This window comes from Homo sapiens, chromosome 10 (assembly GCF_000001405.40).
Source record: "Homo sapiens chromosome 10, GRCh38.p14 Primary Assembly".
Classification (NCBI taxonomy): Eukaryota; Metazoa; Chordata; class Mammalia; order Primates; family Hominidae; genus Homo; species Homo sapiens.
In genome coordinates, this window is record NC_000010.11 from 45,439,385 (window position 1) to 45,459,271 (window position 19,887).

The 19,887-nt window shown below is 50.3% G+C and overlaps 2 protein-coding genes and 1 long non-coding RNA gene across 24 annotated transcripts in view, besides 3 other annotated features; 1 reads left to right on the forward strand and 2 right to left on the reverse strand.

Annotated features, from left to right (window-relative positions):
* ALOX5 (arachidonate 5-lipoxygenase) overlaps positions 1-6,733 on the forward strand; it is a 71,902-nt gene extending 65,169 nt beyond the window's left edge. For 3 of the 8 annotated variants that reach the window (NM_001320862.2, NM_000698.5, XM_047424937.1), the window contains 7 exons: positions 1,046-1,249; positions 1,960-2,046; positions 3,654-3,832; positions 4,032-4,153; positions 4,344-4,444; positions 4,732-4,902; positions 6,124-6,733. In NM_001320862.2, coding sequence (NP_001307791.1) covers positions 1,046-1,249; positions 1,960-2,046; positions 3,654-3,832; positions 4,032-4,153; positions 4,344-4,444; positions 4,732-4,902; positions 6,124-6,303 — 1,044 coding nt within the window. In that variant the 3' untranslated portion in view covers positions 6,304-6,733. The remainder of the gene's footprint in view (positions 1-1,045; positions 1,250-1,959; positions 2,047-3,653; positions 3,833-4,031; positions 4,154-4,343; positions 4,445-4,731; positions 4,903-6,123) is intronic. The other 5 variants (NM_001320861.2, NM_001256153.3, NM_001256154.3 and 2 more) reach the window with 5 other exon arrangements.
* Positions 2,198-2,429: a silencer, noted in NCBI's record as "fragment chr10:45937030-45937261 (GRCh37/hg19 assembly coordinates)". NCBI's record gives its function as "represses an EF-1alpha promoter that drives an FKBP-Casp9 reporter gene in an ReSE screen in K562 erythroleukemia cells {active_cell/tissue: K562}" and the evidence as "EXISTENCE:reporter gene assay evidence [ECO:0000049][PMID:32094911]".
* Positions 2,786-3,556: an enhancer, noted in NCBI's record as "H3K4me1 hESC enhancer chr10:45937618-45938388 (GRCh37/hg19 assembly coordinates)". NCBI's record gives its function as "activates a minimal SCP1, AML or CMV promoter by ChIP-STARR-seq in primed H9 embryonic stem cells {active_cell/tissue: H9 hESC(primed)}" and the evidence as "EXISTENCE:reporter gene assay evidence [ECO:0000049][PMID:30033119]".
* Positions 3,557-4,325: an enhancer, noted in NCBI's record as "H3K4me1 hESC enhancer chr10:45938389-45939157 (GRCh37/hg19 assembly coordinates)". NCBI's record gives its function as "activates a minimal SCP1, AML or CMV promoter by ChIP-STARR-seq in primed H9 embryonic stem cells {active_cell/tissue: H9 hESC(primed)}" and the evidence as "EXISTENCE:reporter gene assay evidence [ECO:0000049][PMID:30033119]".
* LOC102724323 (uncharacterized) lies at positions 5,184-13,737 on the reverse strand. The gene is made up of 3 exons (NR_120674.1): positions 13,656-13,737; positions 13,460-13,556; positions 5,184-5,468 (listed from the first exon to the last, which is right to left on the reverse strand). It is a non-coding gene; the product is annotated as an uncharacterized LOC102724323 (long non-coding RNA).
* A 1,463-nt stretch (positions 13,738-15,200) lies between these two features.
* MARCHF8 (membrane associated ring-CH-type finger 8) overlaps positions 15,201-19,887 on the reverse strand; it is a 140,323-nt gene continuing 135,636 nt past the window's right edge. For 14 of the 15 annotated variants that reach the window (NM_145021.6, NM_001401646.1, NM_001401645.1 and 11 more), the window contains 2 exons: positions 19,736-19,883; positions 15,201-19,159 (listed from right to left, as the gene is read on the reverse strand). In NM_145021.6, the coding sequence (NP_659458.2) occupies positions 18,855-19,159; positions 19,736-19,883 (453 nt within the window). In that variant the 3' untranslated portion in view covers positions 15,201-18,854. Of the gene's footprint in view, positions 19,160-19,735; positions 19,884-19,887 lie in introns of those variants that run through there. The other variant, XR_007061947.1, reaches the window with a different exon arrangement.

Sequence of the window (19,887 nt, forward strand, 5' to 3'; positions counted from 1 at the left end):
AGCACCTAAAGTCTGGCCATGCCCCTTCCTGGCCGCTCTTGGCTGCAGCCCTGCCACCCACCTCATTCTTTCTGTCAACCCCTCCAATACCCCATGTCTTCATGTAAAAATGGGCAATGCCAGCACCTGCTGCCGGCTCCCGTGAGAACTCACTGTCGGGTGCTGAGGCTGTGCTGGGCTCTCAATAAGGGGGCAACGTGCAGGGCTGCTGGCATGGAGGGACCTGGGGCTGGGTGCTGGTGTGGGGGCACGAAAGTGAGGCTGTGTGTACAGAGGCATCAGCAACCAGGTCACCACAGAGCTTGGGGATTTTATTTTCTGGCATTAAGAGGTGATTGAGGAGGCAGTTAACATGACATGATTTGCATTTTGGAAAAGAAAAAAACTCACCTTGTCCCAGTGTGGAGTGGAAACTGGAAAGGGAAGACAGGTCCAGCCTCTGCTACAGGAGGTGCCTGGCCACAGGTGTGGGCTCCAGGCAGAGCTCAAGCTGCAGACCCTGATCTGGGAGGCTCAGTACCAGGAGGGCCCCAAGCCTTTAAACAGGAGGAGCTGACTTAGGGCAAGAAAAGAAGACAGGAGCACCAGGGCAGACCCTGGGGAGCTCCAGCATTTCAGGGAAGAGGAGAGGGAGGAAAGTATGAGAGACCAAGGAGAGGCAGTAGAAGAGGGAGCAGGGCAAGGAGGGAAGAGGGGGACAGCGATCCTCCCCCTCCGCTGCTGGGCCTTCGGCCTGCCCGCTCCTTCCATGCTGCCAGCTCCTGAGTAACTGTGAGCCGAGCGATCACTGTCCCCACATGACAGATGCTGAAGCCGGAGCTTAGAAAGCCCAGTGTGTCATCCAGAGTCATGCAGGTTGTAAGTAATATGGCTGGGACAGGAAATACCACCGCAGGGCCCTTTACCCCCTCCAGGCTCTTCTGATTCCAAAGTCACTGTTAAAGAAATTCAGATACTTCTGGAACTTCCCAAGAGGCGAAGTTCTCCAACAACTATACTCTGAAGTGAAATATAGCAGTGTGTTTCCTTTCCCCCAATGTATCAGCTCAACCAAATCCCGGGAGATGAGAACCCTATTTTCCTCCCTTCGGATGCAAAATACGACTGGCTTTTGGCCAAAATCTGGGTGCGTTCCAGTGACTTCCACGTCCACCAGACCATCACCCACCTTCTGCGAACACATCTGGTGTCTGAGGTTTTTGGCATTGCAATGTACCGCCAGCTGCCTGCTGTGCACCCCATTTTCAAGGTACAGCCAGCTACCGCCCCACCTGCTATGGGAGGGCATCTGAGATGTGGAGTGGGAGGGATCACTGACATCCCACAGGGGGACCTGTGGCTGGGAGTGGGTGGCAGAAAGGGAGCCCTGGAGAGATGTTCTCAGAGTCAGTAATGCCCCTAAAGGAAGAAAACAGCTAGGAGCCTGCTGTTCCCCAGGACACGCGGCTGGGGCATGGGCCTGACACACGGGCCTCGCTGGCCAGCCAGTAGAGTTGGAAAAGGCAAATGAGTTCATGGTGATCCTCGGCTGATGCTGATGGCCGCCCCTGCCATCACTCTCCGTCCCTGTTCTCGAATCCTACAAGCATTGGCTGCTGGGGTGACTGCATGCTAAAAGTACCCATGTGCCTCAGTTTCCTCACCAGTAAAACAGGTCAAATAGTACAGCTGCCTTACAGAATGATGGTCAGATTAAGACAGTGAACTCAGGGAGCAAAGAGGTAAGCATTGTACAAGTGCTGGCCAGGACCCTCTGAATCATTATCATGCTTAGTAAGCATCAGAGGGGTGCAGGCCTCCAGCACTTATTCAGCAGAAAGATCAGCACCCAGCCTTCACTTCCTCCCTGCGCCCAGCATCATCCTATAGGGCAGGCCTGGGTGGGGGAGCTGCGGGTCCCTGAGGCACCAGGTCACCTGACTGGGCCCCCTCTGAGGCCTCCTCCTCTCCCCTCCCCAGCTGCTGGTGGCACACGTGAGATTCACCATTGCAATCAACACCAAGGCCCGTGAGCAGCTCATCTGCGAGTGTGGCCTCTTTGACAAGGTGGGTGCCCTCCTACCCTACTTGTTGCCTGGAAGAGCCCAGCCTGGCCGCCTTCACTCCCTATCTGAGATCTAGACACCCTTTCAGGAGGCCTGGAAGGGTGAAGGCTGGAGTCTGCTCAGAGCACTGGCTCCAGCATCCTCCTGATGTCTCCAGCCCGTGCCATTCAGCCAGGAGCACTCCTCCAGGCGCACCACCAGGTCTTCCTTCTCACTGATGGCTCCTGGTCCCCTCCTCCCACCCCTCCCCTCTCCCAGCCTCTGGGACCTGGGTGTAGACCCCCCTCTGGAACACACTCCTTATGGCCCCCTGACCTCCTACGCACCAGGAACCTGTGTCTGCCTCTTAATCTGCCACACCCCTGCCACCCTGACCTGGACCTCCCCAGCACTCTGCTTCCCGGGTCCCAACCCTCCCAACCCACTGTCTCCTGCATCGGGGACTCCAGGCCCTGCCCAGCCCTCGCATCCCTCAGGTAGCACCCCACCTCGTTTTGAGCCCTCTGTAGCCTTACCAAGCTTGGACTCTCACATGGGCCCTTGCCCCAACCTTCCTCCTTTCCCCAGCCCATTAGTGACCAGGCCAGATGACCACTGAAGTTGAGACACTGTTTGGGCTGCAAATGACAAAACCCAACTCAAACCAGCTGCAGCTGGACAAGACATGCCTTATCTCAAATACCTGGACACAATAGAGGGTCGGGGGCCTCAGCCAGAAATGGATCCAGGGACTCAAGCAATGCCCCAGGGTGCATGCACACTGGCTCCCTCTTTCTGTCTCTTTCACCTGTGTTGGCATCACACTCTCCTGCTGCAGACAGGCCCCCATGGGAGAGGGCACAGGAGCTCATCATAGTAGCTCCACCTCAGGTTCTCATGTGGCCATTATCTCCCAGCCGCATCTAAACAGAAAGTGCTGGGGGGCAGCTCTGGTTGGTCCTGCTTGGGCTGAATGCCCACCGTGGACCAATCTCTGGCACCCCAGCACCCAAGTCCTTCTTCAAAACCTCTGTGGCACCGACAGCCCAGCCCCCTGGGTGTATTTGCATGTGTGTGTGTGCACGTGGACACACATATGTGCCAGTGAGCTTGTGAGTGTGTCTGCATCACTCAGAAGCCGGGATCGGGATCAGGACCAGGATCCCTCCTTGTGGGTCTCTCCAGCCCTCACCTGAGCACACAACAGGCCCTCAACAGAGTTGCATGGGTCCTGGAAACTGAGGGTCACTGAGAGCAATGACTGAGGGTCGTGTGCTCAGCACTAGAGCAGACTTCACAGCCCAGGCCCGCTGGTGCTGGGGTCCCCCACACACCTGCCCACGCCTGCTGCCCTCCTGTGGCTGGGAGCGCACCCTTCCCTCTTGTACTCTGCAGCCCCACGGTTCAGTCCCTTGCATTGGATTGGGCGGGAGGCTCCTCCCTAGCACCTCTCCACCCGGCTGCCCTTGTCATTCTCTGCGTTAAACATCCCTCCCCCATCTCACAGGACAAGGGCTTGCACCTCTGCCTGCCTGGCCTCCTCGCCTCCCCTGGCACATTTCCTCAGGGATGGGTCTGGACAGCTGTGGGAGGAGCCACCCGCTCAGGGCACTCTACCTCCCACTCCAGGCCAACGCCACAGGGGGCGGTGGGCACGTGCAGATGGTGCAGAGGGCCATGAAGGACCTGACCTATGCCTCCCTGTGCTTTCCCGAGGCCATCAAGGCCCGGGGCATGGAGAGCAAAGAAGACATCCCCTACTACTTCTACCGGGACGACGGGCTCCTGGTGTGGGAAGCCATCAGGACGTGAGCGCCCGCGGGGCGGTGGTCCTGGGGGAGGAGCCGGGACCCCTGCCTGACTACCTGGGGCGGGCCTGGCCCCTCCACCGCTAGCGCTGAATGGGGACGGGGTGGGGGAGTCCCAGCGTCCGTGAGGGGGTTGCCGCCGGGCACCGCTCCGCAGACCTGGCTGGGTCGCCCACCCCGGCTGCGCCCCCTGAGCCAGGTTCACGGCCGAGGTGGTAGACATCTACTACGAGGGCGACCAGGTGGTGGAGGAGGACCCGGAGCTGCAGGACTTCGTGAACGATGTCTACGTGTACGGCATGCGGGGCCGCAAGTCCTCAGGTAGGGCCTCCGGGACGTCTCCGGACCCGGCTCCCCCGCAGTCGGCAGCGCTGGCCCCTCCGCCACCCCTCCGGGGTGTCCTGCCCAGGGTGCCCTCCGGCCTTGGGGCAGGGAATCCGGGCACGGGGTGGGCGCCGGGCCCTGGGGTCCTCAGGGACTGGGCCTCAGCCCGCCGGTGGTTCCACCCTAGGCTTCCCCAAGTCGGTCAAGAGCCGGGAGCAGCTGTCGGAGTACCTGACCGTGGTGATCTTCACCGCCTCCGCCCAGCACGCCGCGGTCAACTTCGGCCAGGTAGGCAGGGCCGGGCCCGCTGGGCAGGGCTCCCTTCTCAAGGCCGCTGCCTCCTCCCCCGCCCCGGTTCTGCACGCGTACTGCACCCTCGGACAGCCTCGGGGCCTGGCACGGGACTTGCAGGATGGATTCTGCCCGCTCAGCCAAGGGCGCTGGCCGCGGGGAAAGAGGATGGACGGACTGCAGGGCCCGCTGGAGTTGGGGGGCACGGGGAGGACGGGGCCCAGGGGGCAGCTGGGCAGCAGGGCTTCGGGGGTGCCCACGCTTGCTGGCGGTCGTCTCCGCAGTACGACTGGTGCTCCTGGATCCCCAATGCGCCCCCAACCATGCGAGCCCCGCCACCGACTGCCAAGGGCGTGGTGACCATTGAGCAGATCGTGGACACGCTGCCCGACCGCGGCCGCTCCTGCTGGCATCTGGGTGCAGTGTGGGCGCTGAGCCAGTTCCAGGAAAACGAGGTGAAGCTGGGCAGGGCGGGGCACAGCCCCAGGTCACCCCAGGTTAAGCGGTTCCTCAGCCTCAGGGCTTTGTGACTCGGGCCCCAAGGCTCACTTGGAGCAAAGGAATCCTGACTTCCAAGGCTGGAAGGGCCCAGAAGGCTGCAGCCGCCACCAGGTCCCCCGGCCTCAGCCTGGACAGAGCTCAGGGTGTGCAGGGCAGGAGAGCACACAGCCCAGGCTTTGCTCACTGTCACCAGAGGGTCGTGTGTGACGCCCCCTCCCCCCAGCTATTGACAAAGTTCTTGCACATGTGTTTTACCCTGGTACTCCAGAGGGAATGACCAAGAGTTTCCTGGGTTCCTTCCGGACACGTGCATCTCATTTAACCTAACAACTGAATCCGGTGTGTCTTCGTGGATGCACCCGCTTTGGGGTAGCTCAGTACTGCATAGAATGGCCGGACCAGTCCAACCTGCTCCAGACTGCTGGGTGTCTGAGTTGTTCCCGGCCAATGTGTTGGTCCCTCACTGGACATCCTTGTTTTTGTGGCTTTGCACATGTGTTCAGTATGACCGCACACATTCCTAGCAGACAAATTCCTTGGTCAAAGAATATTGATACTGAATTGCCCTCCACAAACTAAATTCAAAATCCCATTATCAATAGCCTATGTTTCTTGGACCTTTCCAGCTCAGAAGCTTTGTGATCTTAATCCAATACAGTATTTTTTTAAAATGATATCTAGCTCTGCCCCGCAGACATCTGTGTGAGAATGCAAATAAGCACAGGACCCCAACAGGGCAGCCACCCCTTCAGGCTCCCTGGCCCGCTTTCTGCCTTCCTGGGCTGGAGAGGCCAGTGCTGGCCCCAGCGCCCCTGATGGGAGGTGAGAGTGCTGCGCAGGGGTGGCCCAAGACAGCAGGATACCATGGCTGCAAACACCAGCAGCCCCCAGCTTCATCTGCATCATCTCGTAACCACTTGGCAGCAGGCAGTTATTTTCCCACTTATCCATGAAGCCCCAGCCCTGGAGCCTTCCTTAGAGAAGCAGGTTGGAGGCGACGACACTTGCCTTCCCGAGGCCCTCTTGTCAGGCAGCAGAGGGTGAATATGGGGAGGTGAATAGATGCTCCCTCCTTCATCTCCCAAACGGTGGCTGGCCCCTTGGGATGAGACAGGCCTGTCAGTTTACACGGGTAGTGGATTGACCTATGTGTGTGTCCATGTCTGGGCCCTCAGCTGTTCCTGGGCATGTACCCAGAAGAGCATTTTATCGAGAAGCCTGTGAAGGAAGCCATGGCCCGATTCCGCAAGAACCTCGAGGCCATTGTCAGCGTGATTGCTGAGCGCAACAAGAAGAAGCAGCTGCCATATTACTACTTGTCCCCAGACCGGATTCCGAACAGTGTGGCCATCTGAGCACACTGCCAGTCTCACTGTGGGAAGGCCAGCTGCCCCAGCCAGATGGACTCCAGCCTGCCTGGCAGGCTGTCTGGCCAGGCCTCTTGGCAGTCACATCTCTTCCTCCGAGGCCAGTACCTTTCCATTTATTCTTTGATCTTCAGGGAACTGCATAGATTGATCAAAGTGTAAACACCATAGGGACCCATTCTACACAGAGCAGGACTGCACAGCGTCCTGTCCACACCCAGCTCAGCATTTCCACACCAAGCAGCAACAGCAAATCACGACCACTGATAGATGTCTATTCTTGTTGGAGACATGGGATGATTATTTTCTGTTCTATTTGTGCTTAGTCCAATTCCTTGCACATAGTAGGTACCCAATTCAATTACTATTGAATGAATTAAGAATTGGTTGCCATAAAAATAAATCAGTTCATTTAAAATGGGTCTTGTTCCATGTGTTATATTCCAATCACCCCAAACAGCTCACTGCCATCTCCCACACCAAGAGAAAAAAAAAGCCATAGTCACCGTGATTTTATCAAGGCAAAAGCCTCCCCACCCAAGTCTGGATAGAAGGTGCTTTTTCCCTCAAGCAGTGTCTACTCTCTTTGGAACACATCCCAAATGTCACCACCTCTGGGAAGGCATCCTTGGTTCCTGTCTCTACCCTGGATTTGTCAGAACCTCTGTTCTTGCCCCCTCTGTGGTCTCTCCCTTGGGACAGGAGCCCCTGGAAGGACAGAAAACCCACTTTATTTATGTCTGTGCCCCAGGGCTGGCATAAGGCACCAGCACTCAGCTGTTCTCTCCTTTTCCTCCTGGAAGGGCACCTAGCTAATGGATATTAGGCATTGTCTTGGGAGCTGGGGGCTTATTTTTTCCTGAGGCAGGGTTCTTAACATGACATAAAAAATAAAAATGGGCAGGGCGCGGTGGCTCACGCCTGTAATCCCAGCATTTTGGGAGGCCAAGGTGGGAGGATCATTTGAGGTCAGAATTCAAGACCAGCCTGGCCAACACGGTGAAACCCCATCTCTACTGAAAATACAAAAATTAGCCAGGCATGGTAGCAGGTACCTGTAATCCCAGCTACTCAGGAGGCTGAGGCAGGAAAATTGCATGAACCTGGGAGACAGAGGTTGCAGAGAGTGGATATCGCACCACTGCACTCCAGCCTGGGCAATAGAGCGAGACTCTGTCTCAAATAGTTAATAAATAAATAAATTAAATTAAATAAAAACGCATTCTCTTTCCCCAGCCCCAAGTAGCAGAGCCCGCTCTGAGCCTGGGCATGGTGACCCATTCTCCTCGTGCTCACATGCCCAACTCCCAGCCCTCCAGCCCCTGGCTTCGGAATCATGTCATCAGGGTCTCCCATGTCTCTGGAAGGTGCTTCCAGTGTGGCAGGCCATCAGCTCAGTGTCTGGGTAAAGGCTTCTACAGGGCCAGCATGGCATAGGGGGGAGGTGTGCATGCGTTCCTGAAGCCACAAGGTCTTCTGAGGAGACCTGACTATTGGGGTGGGGACTAGAGACTGAGGTCCAGCCCCTTAATGCCCCAGACTCCCTGCCATCCCTCGGAGAATTTCCCACCACACTTATGAATGATCTTCGGGACAGGTGACATAAACATACAGCTATGGTAGAGGCATTCAGCTCCATGCCACTGTGAGAATGAACATACCAACTTTTAGGCAACAAGGCCATGTGGTCAAGGAGAGAGGAGAAACGAATAGGAGTAGGCAGGGGTGGTGAAGCAGGTCTGACATTGGCAAAAGTGACAGAGAAGGATTGGGTTGGAAGGGCTTCAGATGGCAGAGAACCTCTGAAAAAGTCTCATGCCAGCTAATGAAGAGTCCTCAAAGTCACCATCACAGAAATCTTACATCTGGCAGAAATGACAGCAATAGTTTGGCATGAACCCCACAGTGGATCCAAACGTGTGGCAGCTGAGATCGTCAGTTAATTATGTTCTCTGCAGCTGGTCCTTCTGGTTCCCTGGAGCTGGGTATCTGAGTAGCACAGCTCCACTGCTACCACAGGAGAGGGAGAATCCCAAATTCTGTGCATAGACTGTCTAAACCTCTGGATGACCCCTAAGACACATGTACATAAGGCAAACTGCAAACAGCCCAATTTAGGATAAAACAGCCTGTCTTACTCTGTTTGTGCTGCTATAATAAAATACCTCAGACTGGGTCATTTATATAGAACAGAAATTGATTCCTCACAGTTCTGGAGGCTGGAAGTCTAAGAGGAGGCACTGGCAGTTTCAGTGTCTGGTAAGGGAGGGATCAGTGTCTGCTCCCAAGAGGATGCCCTCTGTGCTGTGTCCTCACCCAGCAGAAGAGCAAAAAAGGGCGAACATTCTCAAAAGCCTCTTTTATAAGGACATCAATCCATTCATGAGGGCAGAACCCTCAAGAATTAATCATTTCTCAAAAGGCCCCTCCTCCTAATGCCATCACCTTGGGGTTTAAGTTCCAACACATGATTTTTGGAAGGACACATACATTCAAATCATTGCACAACCAAAGTGATATTTGAACTTTCAAATAGTTTGCAGTTTGAGATCAACTAAGTTAATTGCTTGCTTGAATAAAAACATCACAGCCGGGCACGATGGCTCACGCCTGTAATTCCAGCACTTTGGGAAGCCAAGGTGGGCAGATCACTTGAGGTCAGGAGTTCGAAACCAGCCTGACCAACATGGTGAAACCCCATTTCTACTAAAAATACAAAAATTAGCCAGGCGGCCGGGCGTGGTGGCTCATGCCTGTAATCCCAGCTCTTTGGGAGGCCGAGGCGGGTGGATCACAAGGTCAGGAGATTGAGACCATCCTGGCCAACACAGTGAAACCCTGTCTCTACTAAAAATGCAAAAATTAGCTGTTGAGACTACTCGGGAAGCTGAGGCAGGAGAATTGCTTGAGCCGAGATCGTGCCATCGCACTCCAGCCTGGGGGACAAGAGCAAGACTTCGTCTCAAAAAAAAAAAAAGAAAAGAAATTTTCTGGATTAGGATAATGTTCTATATTTGGATAAGGGTTTAGGTTACCTAGATAGATACATTTATCAAAAGTCATCAAATGGTACACTTCAGATGTACGCATGTCACTGTATGTAAATATTACCCCAAAATCAACAAGAACCATGAGCAAATACTGACTTCTAGTGAACGACATGCATACTGAAACTTTCGTAGTGAAGTATAATTATGGCTGCAGTTGACTCTGAAATACATAAAAACCTAAGTTGATGGGTGAATACAGTGATTAATAGATAGAAATCTGTGGTAAAGCATACGGAGAAAAATGTTAATTGTAGATTCTAGGGTTTATATATATTCTCACTATATAATTAAACGTTTTTATGTTTAAAAATTTTTATAATGTTGAAAAACCATGAAATCCTACCTAACGCAGTAAGACAAGAAAAAGAGATAAAAGGTATATGTACTGGGAAGTAAGAAATAAAACCGTCTTTGTTAGCAGATGACATGCTCATCTATGTAGAAAATCCAAAAGAATGGATAAAGAAACTCCTGGAACTAATAAGTGGTTACAGTAAGGTTGTAGGATACAAGGTTAATATACAAAAGTCAATCACTCTCTTATTCACCAGTAATGAACAAGTGGAAATTGAAATTCAAAACAAAATACTATTTACATTAATACTCCAAAAATACATACTTAGGTTTAAATCTAATAAAATACATACAAGATCTTTATGAGGAAAACTGCAACCCTGATGACAGAAATCAAAGAGAAACTAAAGAAATAGACATAAGTAAATATTCCCCAGAAAGACTCAATATTGTCAAGATGTCAGTTCTTCAAAACTTGACCTATAGATTCAATGCAATCCTAATCAAAATCTCAGCAAGTTATGTTGTGGATACTGACAAACTTATTCTTTTTTTTTTTTTTTTTTTTTTTGAGACGGAGTTTCGCTCTGTTGCCCAGGCTGGAGTGCAGTGGCGCGATCTCGACTCACTGCAAGCTCCGCCTCCCGGGTTCACGCCATTCTCCTGCCTCAGCCTCCCATGTAGCTGGGACTACAGGCACGCGCCACCATGCCCGGCTAATTTTTGTATTTTTAGTAGAGACGGGGTTTCACCGTGTTAGCCAGGATGGTCTCGATCTCCTGACCTCGTGATCCACCCGTCTCGGCCTCCCAAAGTGCTGGGATTACAGGCGTGAGCCACCGCGCCCGGCCAACTTATTCTAAAATTTAGATAGGGAAGCAAAAGACCCAGAACAGCTAACACAACAATATAGTAGGAAAACAACAAATTTGGAAAATGGATACTACCCAACTCCAAGACTTACTATAAAGCTACAGTAATCAAGATAGTGCCGTATTGGTGAAAGAATAGACAAATAGATCAATGGAACAGAATAGAGAGCCTAAGAAATAGACCTTCATAAATACAGTCAACTCATCCTTGACAAAGTAGCATAGACACTACAATGGAGCAAAGATTGTCTTTTCAACAAGTGGTGCAGGAACAACTGGATATCCACATGCAAAAACAAACAAACAAGCATGAATCTAGATACAGACCTTATGCTCTTCACAAAAATTAACTCAAAATGGATTATAGATCTAAATGTAAAATTCAAAACTATAAAATTCCCATAACATAGGATAAAATCTAGATGACCTAGGTATGGCTATGACTTTTTAGACATAACACCAAAGCCATGGTCCATGAAAGAAATAATTGGTAAGTTGGACTTAATTAAAATTAAAACCTTCCGCTCTGCAAAAGACCACACTAGGAGAGGGAGGAAATATTTACAAAGACACATCTGATAAAGAATTGTTACTTAAATTATACAAAGCCTTCTTAAACTTAACAGTAAGGAAACAATCTGATTGAAAAATGGGCCAAAGACTTTAACAAACAAAAGAAGATATACAAATGGCAAGTAAGTATGTGAAAAGAAGCTGCACAGCTGGGGGGCGTGGTGGCTCACGCCTTTAATCCCAGCACTTTGGGAGGTCAAGGCGGGCAGATCACCTGAGGTCAAGAGACCAGCCTGTCCAACATGGAAAAACCTGTCTCTACTAAAAATATAAAATTAGCTAGGCATGGTGATGCATGCCTGTCATCCCAGCTACTTGGGAAGCTGAGGCAGGAGAATCGCTTGAACCCGGAAGGTGGAGGTTGCAGTGAGCCAAGATCGCGCCATTGCACTCCAGCCTGGGCAACAAGAGTAAAACTCTGTCTCAAGAAAAAAAAAAAAAAGCTGCACATTCTATGTTATCAGGGAAATGCAAATTTAGAATAACGCAATAACAAGATACCACTACATACATATTAGAATGGCCAAAATTGAGAACACTGACAGCACCAAATGTGGAGGAGGATGTGGAGCAACAGGAACTAGAGAGAATGCAAAATGGTATAGCCACTTAGGAAGACAGCTTGGCAGTTTCTTACAAAACTAAATATACTCTTACCACACAATCCAGCAATCACACTCCTTGGTATTTACTTACATCCCAACAAAAACCCTCATATGGATGTCTAGAGCAGCTTTGTTCATAATTGTCAAAACTTGGAAGCAACCAAAGATGCCCTTCGGTAGGTGAGTAAATAAATAATATCCAGACAATGGAAATACCATTCAGTACTAAAGAGAAATGAGCTATCAAGCCATGAAAAGGCGTGGAAGAAACTGAAGTGTGTATCACTAAAAGTCAATCTGAAAAGGGTGCATAAGTTTCCAAAGATATGATATTGCAGAAAAGGCAAAACTGTGGAGACAGTAAAAAGATTGCCAGGGGCTAGGGCAGTGGGAGGGATGAATAGGCAGGGCACAGAGGATTTTCAGGGCAATAACACTACTCTGTATGACACTATAATGTTGGATACATGGCCAGATCCACAGAATGTAGAACACCAAGAGTGAACCTTGAACTATGGACTTTGAGTGATGAGGATGAGTCAGTGTAGGCTCATGGATTGTAATAAATGCACCACTGTGGGGGGGGGGGGATATTGATAACTGGGGGGCTGTACATGTGTAGGGACAGGAGTAAATGGGAAATCTCTACTTTTGTTACCGGTGGAGGGTGTACCGCATTTTGAACAAAAAATTGGACAAAACGCACAAAGCAAGGAAAGAATGAAGCAACAAAAGCAGAGATTTATTGAAAACGAAAGTACACTCCACAGGGTGGGAGCAGGCCTAAGCAGGTGGCTCAAGGGCCTGAATACAGATTTTTCTGGGGTTTAAATACCCTCTAGAGGTTTCCATTGGTTACTTGGTGTATACCCTACGCAAATGAAGAGGATGAAGGGAGGTTACAAAGTTATTTACTTGGTGTAGAAAATTAGGGTTTTTCCCTTTTATTTAGTTGTAGGAAGCCCTTAGGTTACCTGCCTCCAGACCCTATTCTCCTGCCTCATTTTATTCCTAATTTTGTTGTGAACCTAAAATTGCTCTAAAAAATGAAATCTTTTAAACAAGAAAATAAACTTATAAATTGCAAATATGTGTCACTTACATAAAAACAAAGAATTAGTGTCCCTACATCAGGAAAAAAACACCTATAATTCAATGTAAAAATGCAAAAAAGCCAAGAGAAATGGCCAAGCCATGGAAATTCACAGAAGTAGAAATAGGCAGTAAATAAACAATGCTCAATTTCATTTATCTGAGAAATGGAGAGTAAAACTTCAGTGACATACAAAGGAGTAACAATCATTTTAGGAACAATTTTAAAAATAACACTTGTGATGTGGCTCAGGAAAGATTCATATTCTCACTGTAGGAAGGTAAGTGAATCATTTTAGAGGTCAGTTTTGCAACTTAGAAGATCAAATGCATCTACCCTTTTTCTACTTCTAGAAATGTATCTTCAGAAGTGCCCCTCCCTCCCTCACACACCCCCAAGTGTACAAAAATAAATGACATGGATGTGGACTGCAGCCTTGTTTCTAATACCAAAAATCAGTAAACAACCTAAAAATCTGTATCCATGAGGATTTAAAGAAATCCTGCATGAGTTAGAAAGAATAAGGTAGATGCCTGGGTTCTAACATAGAAAATATCAAACTGGTTGTTAGATGAAAAAAGCAAGTTGCAAAGTGAGGTAATGTGTAAATGCAGTAAGCAAAATACATCATATATATAGTACTTTCTATGTATTTACCTATATGAGCGTGATGCCTCCAACTGCATAGCTGTGGCTCCGGGAGCAGGACCTTGTAACAGAGCCTCTGCCCCTGACTGTCCTGAGGGGCCTTTCCCTGGGAAAGGAACCAGGTTTGATTTTCAGTCTCTTTTGTTATCACCATGCTGACAGCTTTGCTTGTCATATGCCTTTCCCTCCGCTGTACTGATTTTACCTTACAGAAGCTCTCCTTAGTGCTTCATCAGACACTCCCTCTTTTCCAAAGAAAAGACAGCCGCATTCCATGGTCATCTGGTTGAGCTCGAGGTGAGCCCCAGGGATCATGTGCCTCCCACCAGGCTGACACCCCAGTGGTGAGGAGTTGCCCCTTGGCTTTTTCGAGGCCAAGCAACTCAGAGGTGTGGCAGGATTGCATGTCACAGTGGCACTTCCAAGGCCCTGGAGAGTGACTCAACGCCTCTGTTATTAAGATGTCACACAGGCTGTGCAGCAACAACTCTAGGGACACCCTTCACACTGACAGAGTTGGCAAGCTTTTCCTATAAAGGGGCACACAGTGAATACTGTAGGCTTTGTAGGCCATACTATCTGTCCCAACAATTCAACTTTGCCCACTGTAGCTGTGAATCAACCGTAGATAATATTAAGTGAATGTGCACTGCTGTTTGCTAATAGTTTATTGACAAAAACAGCTGCTTTTGAGCAGTTTGCTACCCCGACAGAGACTGTGGGGAGTCCCTGGTGGCAGCGAGCTACAGGCAGCCAGTACCCCATCAGTGTGGCTGGTTCCATCCTCTCAAGCCTGCCTGCACCCAGACACTGTCGAGTGTGTCTTCAGAAAAACTCCTAAAATTCCCCAAAAGCACAGTGGCTCCCCGAGAGCCACCTCCCTCACCTTCTTACAGGGGCAGGTTCCTCTTCCGGTTCCACCCTCCTCAGCACGGAGCTCAGGGGCCATCCCCACCTCCTCTTGGCCGCAAGCACAGACCTTCCCACACAGGCTCAGCAGCTCTGCGGGCCTGTCCCCCACCTGGAGCTGCAGGCCTCCACTCCTGGGGACAGCTGTGACCATGGCTCTGCAAAGCAGCCTTGTGCCTAGCTCCCAAGTCAGCTGGCAGCCCAGAGTGGAACAATTCTGTGGATCACCTCTGAGACAGCAGCACATCTGGGCAAGCCTGGCTTCCCACCCCTCACCTCCTGCAACCTCTGACCCTTGCCATGCATGTGGTAGGGAAGCTGCAACCAGGCCTCAGCACTCCCAGACCTGTGGGCGGTTTGCTGTCTGAGGATCGTGGCACTGCCTTCCCTCAGAGGCCTTGCCAGAGCCAGGGGATGCAGCGTGGCAGAGCTGTCACTGGCAACCCTGCTGGTCTCCCTGGTGCTTTCTCAGCTGGGCTGTGGGTCAGGACAAATTTCTATGGATAAGGCTGGATCATAATCTAGTGCTCCATGGTCATGCAGCGACAGACTCGAGTCTGCCTTCTCTCAGGGTGGTGAGCTCAGGTAGGAACGGGATGTTTGAAGCAAGCACACCTGTGAGAAATGCCTGTTTTCACTCCCATCCCACACACTCGTCCAGACACTGCCAGCCCACCCCCGACACACGTGTCTGAGGGAGGCTGAGGAAAACAGACACCTCCAGGAGCCGCATACTATTTCCTGATGTGTAAGCCAGACAACCCTGGAAAGGAGGTCAGGGAACCGGAGTGCCTGCCAACGTCCCCAGCCTCCCTGCAGCAAAACACTCTCATGGCAAAACTCCTTTTTAAAGAAAGGCTTTATTGCTGCAATTAGACATCCCAGTGTATAGCACAAACCCCCCTGTACAGAGAATTATTCAAGTGGTAATACTGAGAAACAGTGAACACACACAAAAGAATACAAAACTAGACATTTAGATCACTAGAAACTTTCTAAGGTAAGAAAAATTTCAAATGTGAAGTGCCTTTTAGAAACTACACCACACATGCCAGTGTAAATTTGGTTTAACAATCAATTTCTATAAACATTGCATCTAACTGTGCACTGATCAACTGCACAACTTCAACAATTACTTCCAAGACAAAGATAAATGCTTTTATTTCCCTATGTTTTGGTCTTTCCTTGGGCTAGAGACAGAAGCTGCATGTTTCAAACCAGATTCAAAAGGGAAAGCACTTCAAAACAGAAAGTACTTCAATTGTGTATTTGCCTTCAGCCACATCCAGAGACTTGTGGATCTCACCCGGTTGGTCCCAGCCCTTCTCCAACCCTGAAGCCCACAGCAGGGGTGCAGAGGCAGCCCCAGATCGTGCAGACATCACCCGAGGCTCCCAAACTGGCCCAGCTGCCTGAGGCCTGCATGCCTGTGGCCAGGTAGGACACATGTGCAGGTTTGAAAACTAGGCCTACAAGACTGAAGAGTGGACTGAAGCAAAAAGGGGAGAAACATTAGAGGCCTACAGTAGGAAGAGACCTTTTATAGAGTTTTCAGGAAATTCTCACAATAAACTTGGGCACAAAGACCAAATTGCTGAGGCCAGAAGCCTGCTTATGGTACTGTGACTTATGGGGAGTAGAGGCCAAATCAGAGAGGGCTGGCTGGTGATACCCCAGACCACTTGCCTCTTCCCCTTCCCTGGCCTACAAATACCAGGCCTCCTGGCCCTGAGACCTCATTCTGGGTTTCTATATGGGTCAACCAAATGCCATCCTTTCACTAAACCCAGGTGCAAAATGGGGGGGGAAGGGGGGAAGCTGGGGAGTACACAGCACCCAAAAGAACCGAGAGAGCAAGTTTTCCAAGGCTACAGGAACATTGGCAGAGCTGGTGGCCACACCAGATGGGAGTACCACATCCCCACCAGGCTTCATGCTTCACTGCTAGATGCAGGGGGCTAGAAGGGTCTGATGAATCAGGAGCTGAACTAGAACCTTCAAGAAAAGAAAAGGCAAGGGGGTGGCTCTGTGCCCCGCCAGGAGAGGAAAGAAGAATGTGTGTGGATTGTCCACAGTGAGGCCAGAAACGATGAGATGGTGTTAGGCAGAAAAGAAGGGAGAGGGCTTCCCATGAGAATCTGGCTGGGCATGGGAGGGATACAGGGCTCAGTTATCAAGGCACCTTTGCCATAGTGGGGTGCCAGCTACATTGGGTGGGATGCCCAGGGGCTGTCCCTACCTAAGCACTTTCTTGTCTACAGGAAGTCTTGGTGCTTTTCAAGTTCAGCATAAGGGGTTCCATATGTGAAGTGGGGATTCACACTTAGAAAATCTATCCTGGTCTTCACCTGAAACACTCATCTACTGCTGGGTGGCAGGAACAAGTATACAAAACCAGGGGCCTTGCCTGGGCAGTTCCTAAGGGACATTGGCAGGGCTGACCTGGGATTCAGCTCCCCTGAGTGGACAGTCTGTGGTTGCCTGGGGTCCCCAGGCTGAGAAGGGGTATGGGTAATTGCACTTCGGGGCACAGTGAACACAGGCACGGGCTGGATGTGCCCTGGGAGACAGAAAGGAGAGGCTGACCTATTCTCAGGAGCTGGCTATGGCTGGACAGTGCCTGCCCGGCCAGAGGAAGGCCACAGCAGAGCCACTCCACAGACTAAGACCTGTGTTGCCAAGGAATCAGACACTGGCTTGGAGGAGACAGGAGGACAAAGCCTGCTGCTATTAAGCCCACACCGTAGCTTAGAGATCCTTCAGCCTCCTGGCCTTCAAAACAAACTCCAGGGCTTCCACTCTGAAAGGCAAAGGAATCACCTCGTGTTTGCTTCATCCCCTTAGCAGGATGAACGAAACGCCTAAGGCCCAAAAAGACTGAGGGCAGGACCCCCAGCATCTCCCATCTCCTCCGTGCAGGCTGGGTGAGAGAATGGCCTGGAAAGGAAGCATCTGCGCTACATTGTGCTTCAGGCCCCCCCAGCAACTTTCCCGGAGGTAACTATTTGCCTGGAAAACTAGGAAACTGGGTTTTAAAAACAGAATTTTAAGCAGACTTTTTAGAGGGACAAGGCCATTTGATGGTAGTGATTTTGGTTTTGTTTTATGAAAATGGTACAGGTGGTAATCCCTGATGACAGAATGCACTGAGAGTGGGGCCAAGGGCCCTGAAGGATCCTGTCTGTTCAGTCTGGTTAAGGCGACAGCTGGGCGGGCATGTGGCCGGGGAGCAGTGGCACAGCGGACCCTGGCAGTTTGCTCACACCTGGCCCTCGTCCCAGAGCCAGCCCACCTGCCTCTTGGCCCTGGTAGTGACTCCACAGAACTTCCCCGAGCAGAAGCCTCACAGTGGGCCAGCACCCATCTTGCATGCAAGGGAGAACCTGCATGCAGTGCACACACCCCGGCCAGGGTGGCACATGGCTGCTCTTTCAATGTGAAGCCAACACCAACTGGAGAGATTTAACTATAAAGGAATATTTTTTAAATATTCAGTTTTGTTGTCATTACTCACTTCCTTTCCTTCCATTTCGATCTCAGAAACTGTTCTTTTTCAGTGTTGACAAAAAAGAAATGTATGGGCCAGGTCTACAAAGTAACACCTTGTCATAAAACAGGCTCAAAAGCATAGGAATCATGCTTTAATTGCCATTTAGCATCCACTAATTCCCATGAGATCTGTGATTAAAAAAAAAGCCTCTGGCCTGCTTGTCCTGTCTTAAAAGTCATGAGTCTGTTTTATGAACAGAAAGAATGCCACGCTTCTTAGCATATGTAAGGCAAAATGGATTTTTGATCTCTCATGATGTAAAGGAGATACAAAGGTAAGGAAGGGAAGATTTCTAAGTGAGACTTTTTTTGAGTGTCAATCCCGCTGGACACACATATTACAAAATAAAGATTTTCTTCTGTAAAGTGCTGTTTGCTCAGTGAATCATGCGCCACCACAGAGCACCATGGCTCCACCTGCTCAAGAGCATGGAGGAGGCAGCATCGGCAGAGGGCAGGCAGGAGTCTGTGTTTGGGGGTCTGTTTCAATACCATCTCCTGGGGTTCGCCGTGATGCAGAGGGAATCTTCTCGTCATGGCTAGACACTCCCCAATGCTCTGCTCCAGGCTGGGGACCACTGCAAGCTGGAGGCGGCTGGGTATCAGGGCCTGGGCACCCCTGCTCCTCCTCTTCCCTTGGGATTGGCATTTTATTCTCTCATTCAGCTCAAGACCATGGGCAGGAACTCTGCTGGCTCCCCATGATGTCATCATGGGGTCTTCCACTTTCCCACAGAGCTGCCAGGCAGAGGCAGGACCCAGGCATGCCTGGCCCACAGGAAGGTTTTCTAGGAGACTAAGGAGGGTTTAGAAAAAGAGAAGCCACTATAAATAGTCACCTGTCCAGTCTATGCTATTAAAGGACATAAGAAAGGTATACAATTGGCAGTAAACAATTTCCTTCAGCTCTTCATGGATGTCCAGGAAAATGACAACCCGCACACAATCAGACGTGAATGATTTCTGCTCCAGTGTCTTCAGGCTCTGTGCAACAAGAAGAGTTTGTGTCGGAATGACAGATTCCATATCCATGTTTATTTTCAAAGTTGGGCTCTGTTAGTGGAGATTTTTCAAAAATATTCTTTTTGCTTGTTTCTGGACAGTTTTGAACATAGATCACTCTATTATAGGCCTTGAGTCTCTTCCACAATTGCACATACACTTTACACTGAACATACATAAAAAGAAGTCCTCCGGTGAAGCCGATGGCCACAACCACCAATTTAGTCCAAAAGGGCCATTCTAGGATTCCTGGAAGGGAAAAACTCAGCCTATTAGATTTTATTTAAGATATGAAGTAAAGAAAAACACAACTTCTGAACTTCCCATAATCAACTGATTCTTTGTTGTTGTTGTTGTTTTTTAAGAGATGGAGTCTTGCTATGTTGCCCAGGCTGGAGTGCAGTGGCTATTCACAGGTGTGATCATGGCACACTACAGCCTTGAACTCCTGAGCCTCAGCAATCCTCCATCCCTCAGCCTCAAGTATCTGGGGACCACAAGCCTGCACCACTGACCAATGGATTCACAACTCATCCAATGTTGCTCAGTCAAAGAAGAGTGGAAGACAGTGTCCAGCTACTTCCTGCTTTTATAGGATGTAGTTTGCGGAGATTCTCATGCTCCAGAATATGAACTCTCCTGACTGGGTTTCAAAAACTACCACCACAGCAAAAGAAATGCCAAAAAGGAGGCTAGTGCCTCCTAACTGATGTCCCTCCTCCGGAAACCCAGACGTTTTTGGCTAACTGGAAAATCCTCTGACCCCAGGACTCCTGTGAGCTATCCCGGCCCCCATGCTGAGCTTGCTCCAGCCTGAGAACTCACCTGTTGCCTGCCCCTGCTTGATCTCCTCAGCAGTACGGTCAATGAGCACATACAAGGACCAGACCACACATGTGATGGCAATGACGTGGAATGTCACTGAGCACATGATCTTCCTGCGCTCGCTGGACGTCATCTGCAACTTCTCCCACTAG